This window comes from Homo sapiens, chromosome 9 (assembly GCF_000001405.40).
Source record: "Homo sapiens chromosome 9, GRCh38.p14 Primary Assembly".
NCBI lineage: Eukaryota > Metazoa > Chordata > Mammalia > Primates > Hominidae > Homo > Homo sapiens.
Genome location: NC_000009.12, coordinates 121487376 through 121500398, shown reverse-complemented (window position 1 = coordinate 121500398; position 13023 = coordinate 121487376). Strand labels below are relative to the sequence as shown.

The 13023-nt window shown below is 50.2% G+C and overlaps 1 protein-coding gene and 1 pseudogene across 7 annotated transcripts in view, besides 2 other annotated features; one reads left to right on the top strand and one right to left on the bottom strand.

Annotated features, from left to right (window-relative positions):
• Positions 506-605: a silencer, noted in NCBI's record as "silent region_20236". NCBI's record gives its function as "represses an Ori minimal core promoter by ATAC-STARR-seq in GM12878 lymphoblastoid cells {active_cell/tissue: GM12878}" and the evidence as "EXISTENCE:reporter gene assay evidence [ECO:0000049][PMID:35858748]".
• Positions 555-13023, top strand: part of GGTA1 (glycoprotein alpha-galactosyltransferase 1 (inactive)) — a 54855-nt gene continuing 42386 nt past the window's right edge. For 6 of the 7 annotated variants that reach the window (NR_168461.1, NR_168459.1, NR_168460.1 and 3 more), the window contains exon 1: positions 555-749. The gene's annotated coding sequence lies outside the window, so the exon portion shown is untranslated. Of the gene's footprint in view, positions 750-1688; positions 1893-13023 lie in introns of those variants that run through there. The other variant, NM_001382587.1, reaches the window with a different exon arrangement.
• Positions 1955-2249: a silencer, noted in NCBI's record as "tiled region #3911; HepG2 Repressive DNase matched - State 25:Art". NCBI's record gives its function as "represses a minimal TATA promoter and a strong SV40 promoter by Sharpr-MPRA in HepG2 cells {active_cell/tissue: HepG2}" and the evidence as "EXISTENCE:reporter gene assay evidence [ECO:0000049][PMID:27701403]".
• RN7SL187P (RNA, 7SL, cytoplasmic 187, pseudogene) lies at positions 5578-5880 on the bottom strand (annotated as a pseudogene).

Sequence of the window (13023 nt, the reverse complement as noted above, 5' to 3'; positions counted from 1 at the left end):
ATAATTCTACTAAAGAGTTATTCCACAGCCTAGGGGCTGCCTTAGAGCCCCGTTTGAGACACTCTGGGCTCACAGATCATGAAGTCAGTGCGCAAACGCGGGCAGACCCTGAACCAGGTGCCCAACGCCCAGCCCTCACTTCCAGAGCTCAGGACTCTCGCAAGAGCGACTCCAGCCCCGGCCTGCCGCTGTCTACATTCGCGCTCTTCCTTCCTCGGGAAACAAACGGTGGATCAGATCTCCAAGGCTCTGAGTTTCCCAGAGTTTGGCCGTGCGCCAGCGCAGCGCAGCCCCTCCCAGCAGCACAGCACAGACCCCACCCCATCCTCCAACGCCCGGGGTTCCTGCTCTATCACCTACACCACCACCACCACGTGCAGGCCCGAGAAGGCAAAAGAGGCCCAGCCACTCTCACCGGGGATTTTATCCGCCTCCCCGGCACACACACACTCTCACTCACGCACTCGCTCGCCGGCCTTCCAGCTGTCTGTGTCCGGGGCGGGGACCGGCTTGGCGCAGCCCGCTGTCAGCGCTCGCCGGCTCCTCGCGCCCCTACCCGCTGCGCTCTGCCCAGAGCAGAAGCCCGGCCGGCCGGCCCACGGGCGGGAGGACGCGCCTCCGCTCGGGCGGAGGCGGCGCGGTGGCTGATCAGAGCGCGTAGGGCTTCGCCGGGGCCGGGAGCTGGGCGCGGTCCTGCTCAGCCCAGCTCACCGCGCGCCGGCCCTCGGCGCCCTGGTTCTGCGGATCAGGTGGGTCCCGCGGGGAGCCGCCCAGGTCCCCGGAGGCCACGAGCAGGACACGGACGGGGGGCTCCGCGCTTGGGAGAGGGTGGTGAGGGAGTGGAGGCGGGCCGCTGCTCCGGCGCTGCCCGGTGTCTGCCCTGCCTGTGTCCCTGCTTTTGTTCTTGTCGCTACCTCGGTGCCAAATCGGACCCAGTTTCTGTCCCTCTGTCCCCATCCTGTGGCCGTCCCTCCCTCTGTCCAGCCTTCCAAGACTGGAGCCTGAAGAGCTGCAAGCTGAGGTTCCCCCACGGGTCCGCGGGGTTGGGGTGGGGGAAGAGAGGGGAGACGCAGGGGACACAGGATGCGACCAAGTAAGTCGCAGTGAGTGAGGGGTCTGTCCTTGCCTGTGGGGCAGGACAGAGGAATGGCTCTTGCCCAGGACAAGATAGGAAGGGCGCGCCTCTGGGAAGGGGAATCTGGGAGTGGGGGGATAAAGTGAGGGTCGCAGGAACCCCAAGGAGGAAGGGAATAGAGAGGGAGATGTCAGAGAGCTTCGGAGAGCCGAGGACTCAGTCAGACGCCCAGCATGGGGAAAGTTTCCGACACTAACTTTGGCATCCGGGGTGCCTGCAGCACTGGGGCGATGGGAGGCGGGAGTTTCCTCCAACTCTTCAAACCTTGCTCCTACTCGAAAAGGACACCACCCCGCGTTTGGAAATGGCAGGAAAACGGCTAAACACAATGATTGCACAAACTCTTGAAGAAAGTAAAAAAAAAAAAAACAGTAAAAAGAAGAAGAAAAAAATGTCAGCGCGCAAAGAGCCAGAGAAGCAGAGGGATTTGAGATTCCTCGATCTTCCCGCTGTGGCGGCCGGGAGGGACTGGGAGGCGCGGAGGGTGTGAGAGCCGCTCCTCCGGCAGGAAGGAACCGAGACCCGAGGCAGGTGTTTTGAGGCTTTGCTCTTCCTTTGCACTCCTTCGGGCTCCTGAGCAGGCCGGGCTGCCTCCTTCCTTTACCTGGAAACAGGCGTGTCTGAGGAAGCAGGAGATGTAGGGTGCAGCCCTGGCCTGCCGCTTGCTGCCAGTAAGGAACCACCTTCCCAGACAGAGCCTCAGTTTCCCCGATTGTGAAATAAGGATACTACTGGAGACCTTCCTTCCAGTCTCTGAGTAAGGAAATGCAAGTGCATGGCGAAGGAGGGCTCTGGGAGTGGGGGGTGTGGAGGACAGGGTTATTCTGCTGCATTTCTGTGCTTCTTTGACTACATCAGGCACTTTCTACCTCTTTCGGAGTTACATCTGGGTGAATTTTGCCTCCTCTACCAGATGGGGGCAGCATGTGGATCTAAGTTATCTCATTTACATGTAACAGGTGCTCAATGACTGAATAAGGCAGAGCTGAACGAGTCCCTAGGGATTGCCCAGTCCAGAAGTTTCAACTCTGTCCTGTAAGGCCCGGCATCCTGCCTCAAGGGCCACCATGGTAGGGGAGGGGAACCTAGAGGACAGGGCTCTGGCCCCTTCCCTATCTTATTTCAGACAGAACCAGTTCTGTTCTTCCTTTATCTCCTCTATGTATTGGGAAACTCCTGAGAACGTTTTTGATGTCAGATTGCTCAGATCCAACCTGATCCAGTTTTTGGTGGAGTAGCTGAGGTCCAGAAGTGTGCAACGTGATTTGGGCAAACTTCTCTAGTGGCCACACCTTACCAGGAGACCTGTCCCCTAAATCATAGGCTAGGAGCTGCCTTTGTCTGGCCATGGTGGCTCTGAGCAGCCATTTCCCCAGCTCTTACCACCAGCTCTCCTACACTCCAACTCCAGGGCCACAGGGCTGCCTTCTGGCCCTTCTGGGAGAAGAAGCCTGTGAATCTCATCCTCTGAGCACTTCCAGACCTTTAGTGGGACCATTTATGTGAGTTGGTCTCACAGGTTGAGGTAAAAAATAATGAGGTTCCCTGGCCCAACTGAGTAGACTAGGTACCTGCCTGTGTCCCTGCTTTTGTTCTTGTTGCTACTTCTATGTCAGAACGGACTCAGTCTCTGTCCCCATTCTGCGCCCGTCCCTGCCTTCGTCCAGCCTTCTAAGACTGGAGCCTGAGGGGCTGTGGGCTGAGCAGCCCCTCAGGCTAACCCATTTTCTAGTTGAGGAAAGGAAGGCTGAGAGAGACCAAGAAACATATGGGCACTCAGCAACTAAATGGCAGCTAGGATTTGAATGCAGTTCTGGCTCTAAGGTTGGTGCTTTTTCCATTACATCACCTCTCATGATGGCTAAAAAATGGCTAATGGACAAATGTCATGGAGACGGGGCAGAGGTGAGGGGAGAACAACCGAAGGAGGGGGCAGCTTTCAGTAGGGGACTGGACATTAATAGAGGTATAAACTCATAAATATAATTTTATCTGAAATGAATGTACTCTTTGCCCTGTACTTTCCTTTTATTTTAGGTTGGATATGTAAAACTTATTTTCTTTCTTTTTTTTGAGACAGTCTCCCTCTGTTGCCCAGGCTGGAGTGCAGTGATGCTATCTTGACTCACTGCAACCTCCACCTCCCAGATTAAAGCAATCCTCCCACCTCAGCCTCCCAAGTAGCTAGGATTACAGGCGTGCACCACCATACCCAGCTAATTTTTTAATTTTTAGTAGAGACAGGGTTTCACCCTGTTGGCCAGGCTGGTCTCGAACTCCTGACCTCAGGTGATCCACCCACCTCCGCCTCCCAAAGTGGTAGGATTACAGGTGTGAGCCACCATGCCCAGTTGTAAAACCTACAAATCTTACGTGTTTGATTTGACAACTCTTTTTTTTGTTTGTTTGAGACAGAGTCTCATTCTGTCTCCCAAGCTGGAATGGTGGGATCTTGAATCACTGCAATCTCTGCCCCCTAGGTTCATTCAAGCGATTCTCTCTCTCTTTTTTTTTTTTTTTTTTTTTTTTTTTGAGATGGAGCCTTGCTCTGTCACTCAGGCTGGAGTGCAGTGGCATGATCTTGGCTCACTGCAACCTTTGCCTCCCGGGTTCAAGCGATTCTCCTGCCTCAGCCTCCTGAGTAGCTGGGATTACAGGCACCTGCCACCACACTGGCTAATTTTCTTTTGTATTTTTAGTAGAGTTGGGGTTTCACCATGTTGGCCAGGCTGGTCTCAAACTCCTGACCTTGTGATCTGACCACCTCAGCCTCCCAAAATGATGGGATTGCAGGTGTGAGCCACCACGCCCGGCCTACCTTCTATTTTTTACGATTGAATTTTAAGAGTTTTTGGAGAAAATAACATGAGTCAGGGCAGAATAGGGATATGGTGATATGGAGATGGTGATATGGAGACCATTATGGGCCAGGGCTTGGGAAGGAAAGAACCAAATGGTGGTTGGAATAATGACCTCAGGAATAGGGATTTCTGGGCACTAATATGTTATGTGAAAAATAAATAGACTTTTGTGGCCAAAAGCTAAGATTTGGGGGTTGTTTGTTATGCAGCATGGCTGCAGCAAAAGCTAACTGATACACATTATATAGATGCAATAAGTGCAGATTGTGATGAAACTTTCATGCCATGATAAGGAGTTGTGAGCAATGGGGAATCAACAGAGAAGTAAGGAAAATCACATAACAGGTTAGTCTCTATGGGTCAACTGGGATTTAAAGACCTGGTACTTGTACTCTGTGGGCCAGGCAAATTCATCCATGTTCATGGCTTTAAATGCTACTTCTGTAGCATTCATCTTATCTCAAACTTTGGGCATCTAATTCACATGTTTAACTGCCCAATGGGCATCTTTGTTTTGAATGTCTCAAAGGCACTGCAAACTCAACAAGTCCAAGCTAGAATTATCTTATGGTGGCTTTCCATCACGGGTCACTGTATGAATGATGGTGCCACTAGCTGAGAGAGTAAGGGAGAATGAATGTTTGGGAAGGGGAGAGATAATGAGTTTAGTTCCATGCTAAATGGTTCAGAGCAGTCCAGGAAGATAAGGATTAGAAGTTGCATTGGGTAATTAGGAGATTACTGGAACATACTGAGAGCAGTTTTGATGGAGTGGAGGGTAGGCAAGCTAGATTGCTGATAGGTAAGGAGGACATAATGAAAACAATGAGGATAGTCAGCTCTTTCTCTTTTTTTGAGATGGAGTTTTGCTCTTGTTGCCCAGGCTGGAGTGCAGTGGCATGATCTCAGCTCACTGCAACCTCCGCCTCCCGGGTTCAAGTGATTCTCCTGCCTCAGGTTCCCAAGTAGCTGGGATTACAGGCATCCACCACCACGCCCAGCTAGTTTTTTGTATTTTTAGTAGAGATGGGATTTCACCGTGTTGTCCAGGCTGGTCTCGAACTCCTGACCTCAAGTGATCCACCTGCCTCAGCCTCCCAAAGTGCTGGGTTTACAGGCATGAGCCACCATGCCTGGCCCAGGATAGTCAACTCTTTCCAGAAGTTTATTTGAGGTCAGGAGAGGCCAGGTGTGGTGGCTCACACCTGTAATCCCAGAACTTGGGGAGGCCAAGGTGGGCAGATCACCTGAGGTCGGGAGTTCGAGACCAGCTTGGCCAACAAAGTGAAACCCCATCTCTACTAAAAATACAAAAATTAGTTGGGTGTGGTAATCCTGTAATCCCAGCTACTTGGGAGGCTGAGGCATGAGAATTGCTTGAACCCGGGAGGTGGAGATTGCAGTGAGCTGAGATGGCACCACTGCACTCCAGCCTGAGTGACAGAGCAAGGCTCTGTCTCAAAAAAAAAAAAAAAAAAAAGAATGATGTAGATTTGGTCCATGCGCTGAAGGCAAAGGGGTCATCACGTAGTATGCTCAACCCAGGTTTCTTTCTTTTCTTTCTTTCTTCCTTTATTTGTAAAAGATGAGGTCTTGCTTTGTTGCCCAGGCTGGGGTACAGTGGCTATTCACAGATGTGATCTCATTACCAATCAGCACGGGAGTTTTATCCTGCTCCATTTCCAACCTAAGTCAGTTTACCCCTCCTTAGGCAACCTGGTGGTTCCCCACTCCCAGGAGATCACCATATTGATGCCAAACTTAGTGCAGACACCTGATCTATCTGCATAGTACACTGCAGCCCAGAACTCCTGGGCTCAAGTGATCCTCCCACCTCAGCCCCCTGAGTAGCTGGGATGGTAGGTGTGAGCCACCATGCCTGGCAACCCAGAATTACTTCTAAAAGTCCTTTCAGTTCTAAAAAGAAGAAGTGAATATCTGCTGTCTAAATCTCCAGCCAAAGAGCTGATTGGCTCAGCTTGTCCAAATGTGGCGAGGAGACCACAGACCTCTGTCACGTGCAATCAGACCCGGCCATGAGAGTTTCCAAGGCTTGGGCTTTAGCAGCCATTATGCCAGTTTTCATTGCCAAACAGAGTCTCAGGAGGCAGAGGCAGTGATGGCAGTGGGGTGGAGACCCATTGCCTTCTGTTCAAATTTTGTGCCACAGGGCAACCCCACACAGACATCCACAAGAGACTTTGGGGGTGTGCACGTGCTTCCTGGGGTTCCTCTCTGAAACCCTGTGTGGCTGACAGATATGAATGGCAGGGAAAAGCATGGGTCTAACTCAGAGAGTGAGTGGTCTGAGATGGAGGAGGAGATTCCAGAGAGAGTGAGCCTAGCGGCTGGGTGCGGTGGTTCACGACTGTAATCCCAGGATGCTGGGAGGCCAAGGCGGGCAGATCACCTGAGGTCAGGAGTTCGAGACCAGCCTAGTCAACATGGCAAAACCCCGTCTCTACTGAAAATACAAAAATTAGCTGGGCGTGGTTGTGCGTGCCTGTAATCTCAGCTACTTGGGAGGCTGAGGCAGAAGAATCACTTGAACTCGGGAGGTGGAGGTTGCAGTGAGCTAAGATTGTGCCACTGCACTCCAGCCTAGGCAACAAAACAAGGCTCTGTCTCAAAAAAAAAAAAAAAAAAAAAAAAAAGAGAGTGAGTCTAGGAAGCTGAAGGAGGATGGGGTATCCAGGAGGATGTGGTCAAGAGGGTTGAATAGTGGAGAGGTTGGGTAGAAAAAAATGGATCCTGGAAGACAGCGGCTGACAGAGATCAGAATGGGTTGACAGTAAGACCCCCGAGGGAAACAAAAATAATTATAAAATTATTATGATAAGATTTCTCTACACTGATGCATAGTTTCAGAAGTAAGACCATGTACTCATCTCACGTGAGCCTCACAAAAGCCCTGAAGTTGGCAGAACAGAAATGATTTTCCCCATTTTGCATGTGGGGAAACTGAGGCTTAGAGTTTTAATGTCTTGGGCGAAAAACCTCAAAAATTAAGTAGCAGAACTGAGGCATGAAAGCCGGGTCCTGAAGCCAAACATAGGGTGGCTTGGAGCCCTCGGTGGGCACAGGTAGGGAATGGAGGTAGTTCACGAGGTAGCAGCTGCAGTGACCTTCCCTGGGGCATAGCAGGGCTCCTTCCTGGCTTTACTCAGACTGAAATCAGCCAGAGAGAGTGAAAAGCAGGAAATGGAAGAGGCTGGGCAGAGAGAGGCCAGATCCTGTCCTGCAATCAGTTCCTTTTTTTTTTTTCTTTGGAGACAGAGTCTCGTTCCGTCACCCAGGCTGGAGTGAAGTGGCGTGATTTTGGCTCACTGCAACCTCCACCTCCCAGGTTCAAGCGATTCTCCTATCTCAGCCTCCCAAGTACAGGCACACGCCACCACACCCAGCTAATTTTTGTATTTTTAGTAGAGACGGGGTTTCCCCATGTTGGCCAGGCTGGTCTCAAACTCGTGACCTCAAGTGATCTGCCTGCTTCGGCCTCCTAAAGTGCTGGGATTACAGGTACAAGCCACCACCCGGCCTCAAGATTAGTTCTTAATAAGAATTTTTCAAGCCACCTCTGTCTCAGTGCTCTCATCTTCAGGGGGGCCTGCTTTAAAAGCCCTGAACTCGACCGGGCGCGGTGGCTCATGCCTGTAATCCCAGCACTTTGGGAGGCCGAGGCGGGCGGATCACCTGAGGTAGGGAGTTCAAGACCAGCCTGACCAACATGGAGAAATCCCCGTCTCTACTAAAAATATAAAATTAGCCAGGCGTAGTGGCCCATGCCTGTAATCCCAGCTATGAGGGAGGCTGAGGCAGGAGAATCACTTGAACCCGGGACGTGGAGGTTGTAGTAAGCCAAGATCGTGCCATTGCACTCCAGCCTGGGTAACAAGAGCGAAACTCCGTCTCAAAAATAAAATAAATAAAATAAAATAAAATAAAATACCTGAACTCGGCTCCCCTTAGGGGTGAGGCACTGAAAAGAGCTCTGGGCTGAATGTGAGGTGGTCACGTCCTACCCCGTGCTGGTGCTGCTAGCTATGGGTACTGTGGGACCGTTTCCCCATCAGCCAAATGGTACAAGGCCCAAGTCTAGCCAGCTTCTCTCTGAGCAACGCCTGCGATGAAACAAAAGCAGGAAAAAAAAACTCTAAACACACAGGAAATGGATGCTCCAACCAAAAACCTGCAAGGGAAATGCAGCTGTTTTTCCCAAAGAAATCCCAACTTGGGGGCCTCTCTTGCCAATTTGGACACCAGGAACTGAGGCGCTAGAAGAGGTACCTGTTCCAGAGACTCATATTGTGAATCAGATACTCATTCAGCATTCACTGAGCTACCACAAATCCATTCATTCATTTATAAATTCACCCAGAATTTACTGAGCACCTACTAGGTCCTGGGCTAGATACCTGAGATGTCACCATGAACAAGATAGACACAATTCCTGCCCACATGGAGGCCATAGCTTAGCTTGGGAGACAGTTGCACATGGCTGAGCATGGTGGCTCACACTTGTAATCCCACTTTGGAAGGCAGAGGCACGCAGATCACTTGAGGTCAGGGGTTCGAGACCACCCTGGCCAACATGGTGAAACCCCATCTCTACTAAAAATACAAAAATTAGCTAGACTTGGTGGTGGGAGCCTGTAATCCCAGCTACTCAGGAGGCTGAGGCATGAGAATCACTTGAACCCAAGAGGCAGAGGTTGCAGTGAGCTGAGATGGCACCACTACACTCTAGCCTGGGTGACAGAGCTAGACGCCATCTCAAAAAAAGAAAACAAGAAAAAAAAAAAAACTAATTGCACAGTGACAGCCACAAAGAAGTGCAGAGCGTGTATAACAGGGGCCTGATCCTGGCCAGGGAGGTGGCCAGGGGAAATGACCTTTCCACTGAGCCCTTCAGGAGTTATAGGGGGAACCGGGTAGAGAGTTTCAGGCAGAGGGAAGAAGCAAGGAGAATCAATCGTCCTGCTCTTCCTCCAGCTGTTCTGGAATCTAGACAGCCCTGGTGGCTGGAGGGGCACAGAGAAAGGAGCAAGCCTAGGGCGAAGGGTGATGTTGGGGCTGGCAACATCTGTGAGCAGAGAAGCAGCTGCCTGACCTTCTCCTGCCCCAGGGAAACCATGAGTCCTCAAGTGGCAGGCCAGCTGTCCTCTGGAGGAATTCTCCTGGCATCTGTGGGAAAAGCCAAGACACTTTCAAAATTAGGAGTGGGGTAGCTTTTAAGGAGGCCTGGCTCCCCGAGAGCAAGGACTGGGCCGGGGTTTGCTTGTGGTTGCCTAAATCTCTGGCTGCTTATAGATTGGTGTTTGATGTAGCAAACTCTGTCTGATATTGGTGTTTGATGTAGCAAACTCTGTCTGCCTATATTCACCAGAGCCATGCAGAGAAAGGGATAATTAATATTTCTATGTGCACATTTAATCAAGTGCTTAGGAATTCATTCCAGGGCATGAAAATTCAACATAGGAAGTGCTCAGAAAATGTTTGGGGCAGCTACATTGAGTAGCAAATGAGAAGGCATATAGGCCAGAGGTCACGGTTGTATGCAACAGAGGGAGATTTCAGCTCACTGAGGCAGAAGACACCTGTCTTGGAAGGGATGTTTTGTTGCTGACAACATCTTTCAGAAGGCTAGAAAACAAAGCTGGCCAGAACCAGTAAAGGCCAGGCAATAAACACAAGGTCTTGTATAGGAGCTAATTCTAGCTCTTGCTGCTGTGAGTAACGTTGCTCTAGCACCTGCCTCCATGCGGCTTCCTTAGGTTGCAGAGCCACTAACTGGCCAGGCCTAGGTCAGTCCTGCATTCCAGGTGTAAGTGAATGGACTTGGGGAGGATCCGGCCCGTTGTGCTCTGGTGGTGAGTGAGGGGTTGCTGATGCTAAACTGGGCAGCCACAAGACCACTGATGCCACCAGAGATGGGGAACCTTGTAGTGCCACAGAATTCTGCTGGCCTAAGGAGGGTCACAGGGCCACAGCTGAGGGAGGGCAAAAGCCTTCTGGGGAGGTTTCAGATGAGATCGGGTGCATTCAGAGTGGTATGGCCATAGACTTTCTGGGGAGCTTTCAGAACAGCAGCCTGACATTGAGCACTTTAGTGAAACTCAAAATCCACCTGTGTAAAATAGGTTGGTTTTTAGAGCTAAGTGTCTATTGCCTGGCATGCGGTACTATTGAATGGCTGTGCTGTTATCATTATTATTAGTAGAAGTACTAGTAATTCCACCCAGCTGTTACCACAGCAGTTATGTCCTCGAGGGAAAGAGAACCAACGCAAGAAAATCTAGAGAAATTCAGCAGTAACCACACACATTGATACATAGAAATTCTTCGCAAGTTCCTTTAAATGTTTGCCTCCTCAGTATACTGAAACGGGGATTTGATTTACCAAAAATAATCAAATACGTGAATGAGTCACCATCTTACAGACCCTTGATACCTACTGTTAAAGAAAGTAGTTCTTTTGCAGGAGCAGACAGAGCTTCTTAGAGATCCCAGACTTCCTTCACTAAGGAAGGCTTAGCAGAGGAAGAAGAAAGTTCACACTCCTGTGACTGGGGGCAACCCCACCCCACCCCCAACAAACACACACACATCCCCAGGAGAGTTGGGCTTCACCACCATACTCTTCCCTGCCACCCGAAGAATGCAGCTTCCCACAAACACAGAACGCCTGCTGGCAGTGTTGTGCTAGGAAGTGTTTCATGACCAGTTCTTTGAAAAATGGAAGCTCTGGTATGTGGTCTTTGCCAATTTCTATAGTGTCAATATTTCCACCAAGGCCAATTTCAAGTTACCACCACTTGAGGAGCTGGGAGTAGGTGCACAGTAGCACATTGATGTATAGTATTTTCCACTCTGACTAGATACAATAGATGTAAGTAACTTCAAGAGTATCAAATGAGGCTGGCCACAGTGGCTCACACCTGTAATCCCAGCACTTTGGGAGGGGATGGTTTGTGTACGGGAGTTTGAGACCAGACTGGGCAACATAGTAAGACCTCACCTCTAAAGAAAATAAAGGATTAGCTGGGCATGGTAATGTGCACCTGTAGTCCCAGCTACTGGGGAGGCTAAGGTGGGAGGATCGCTTGAGCTCAGGAGACAGAGGCTGCAGTGAGCAGTGATCATGCCACTGCCCTCAGCCTAGGCAACAGAGTGAGACCCTGTCTCAAAAAAATATATATAAAATATAATAAAGTAATTAGGAAGTGATGAGTTTTTATGATTACCTTTGTTCCTAATACAGTTCATTTAATTGTAAGTTTACATAATTAAATTTTTTAATAAGGCCTATGTTTAACAACTGGGTTACCAAATTCTTGAAAATTTAACATGCAAGCCAGCATGAACCAACTCCATCACACTGCTGGCTTGGGGGATCCCAGAAAGAGGTCAGCACAAAGAGGTCATCCCTAAATAGTGACCCCTACCCCTCCTTATCACTTTCAAGATGTCAACATCCTTGTTTTGTTTTGTTTTGAGACAGACTCTGGCTCTGTTGCCCAGGCTGCAGTGCAGTGGTATGATCTCAGCTCACTGCAACCTCTGCCTCCTGGGTTCAAGCGATTCTCCTGCCTCAGCCTCCCCAGTAGCTGAGATTACAGGCATGCACCACCATGCCTGGCTAATTTTTTTGCTTTTTGAGACAGAGGCTAATTTTTTTGCTTTTTGAGACGGAGTTTCACTCTTGTTGCCCAGGCTGGAATGCAATGGAGAGACCTTGGCTCACTGCAACTTCCGCCTCCCGGGTTCAAGCGATTCTCCTGCCTCAGCCTCCCAAGTAGCTGGGATTACAGGTGTCCACCACCACCTGGCTAATTTTTTGTATTTATATGAGCCAAGACAGGGTTTCACCATGTTGGGCAGGCTGGTCTCGAACTCCTGACCTCAGGTGATCCACCTACCTTGGCCTCCCAAAGTGCTGGGATTACAGGTGTGAGCCACCATGCCCAGGCCCAATATCCTTTATTTGTCTTATAACCCTTGCGTTTGGTTCAGAGCTGAATCCCCAGGGTTTAGAACGGTGCTAGCCTGCATGTAGTAGGCCCTCAATGAACATGAATTGATTAAATGAAGAGAGGCAGAACATGGAGACTTCAAGAGTTCACATCCTAACAGGCTAAGGCGGGAGGATTGCTTGAGGCCAGGAGCTTGAGACTACAGTGTGCTATGATCATGTCTGAATAGCCACTGCACTCCAGCCTGAGCAATGCAGTGAGACCCTGCCTCTAAAAGAAAACTTTAAACACACACACACACACATGCACGCACACACGCACACACACACACATCCACAACCTGCCTCTGGTTGAGCCTGTTTCTGCATCTGTAAAATTAGGTTCCCTTCAGCTATAAAAAGTCTATACCTGGTAGGCCTGGCGCGGTGGCTCACACCTGTAATCCCAGCACTTTGGGAGGCTGAGGCAGGCGGATCATCTGAGGTCAGGAGTTCAAGACCAGCCTCGCCAACATGGTGAAACACCATCTCTGCTAAAAATACAAAAATTAGCTGGGCGTGGTGGCACGCACCTGTAATCCCAGCTACGTGGGAGGCTGAGGCAGGAGAATCGCTTTAACCCAGGATGTGGAGGTTGTAGTGAGCTGGGATCATGCCACTGCACTCCAGCCTGGGTGACAGAACGAGATTCCACCTCAAAAAAAGAAAAAAGTCTATACCTTGTAAAGACATCCTTTCTGCACAGCACGGCCAAACAGAGATCCTCAGTGGAGCATTTTCAAGGGTGGGCGCTAGTGCGCTGGTTCTTAGGACTGTAGGTTTGATTCTTTAGCTTTTTTTTTTTTTTTTTTTTTTTGAGACAGAGTCTCACTCTGTCGCCAGGCTGGAGTGCAGTGGCGCGATCTCGGGTCACTGCAACCTCTGCCTCCCGGGTTCAAACGATTCTCCTGACTCAGCCTCCTGAGTAGCTGGGATTACAGGTGCGCACCACCAAGCCCGGCTAATTTTTGTATTTTTAGTAAAGACAAGGTTTCATCATGTTGGTCAGGCTGGTC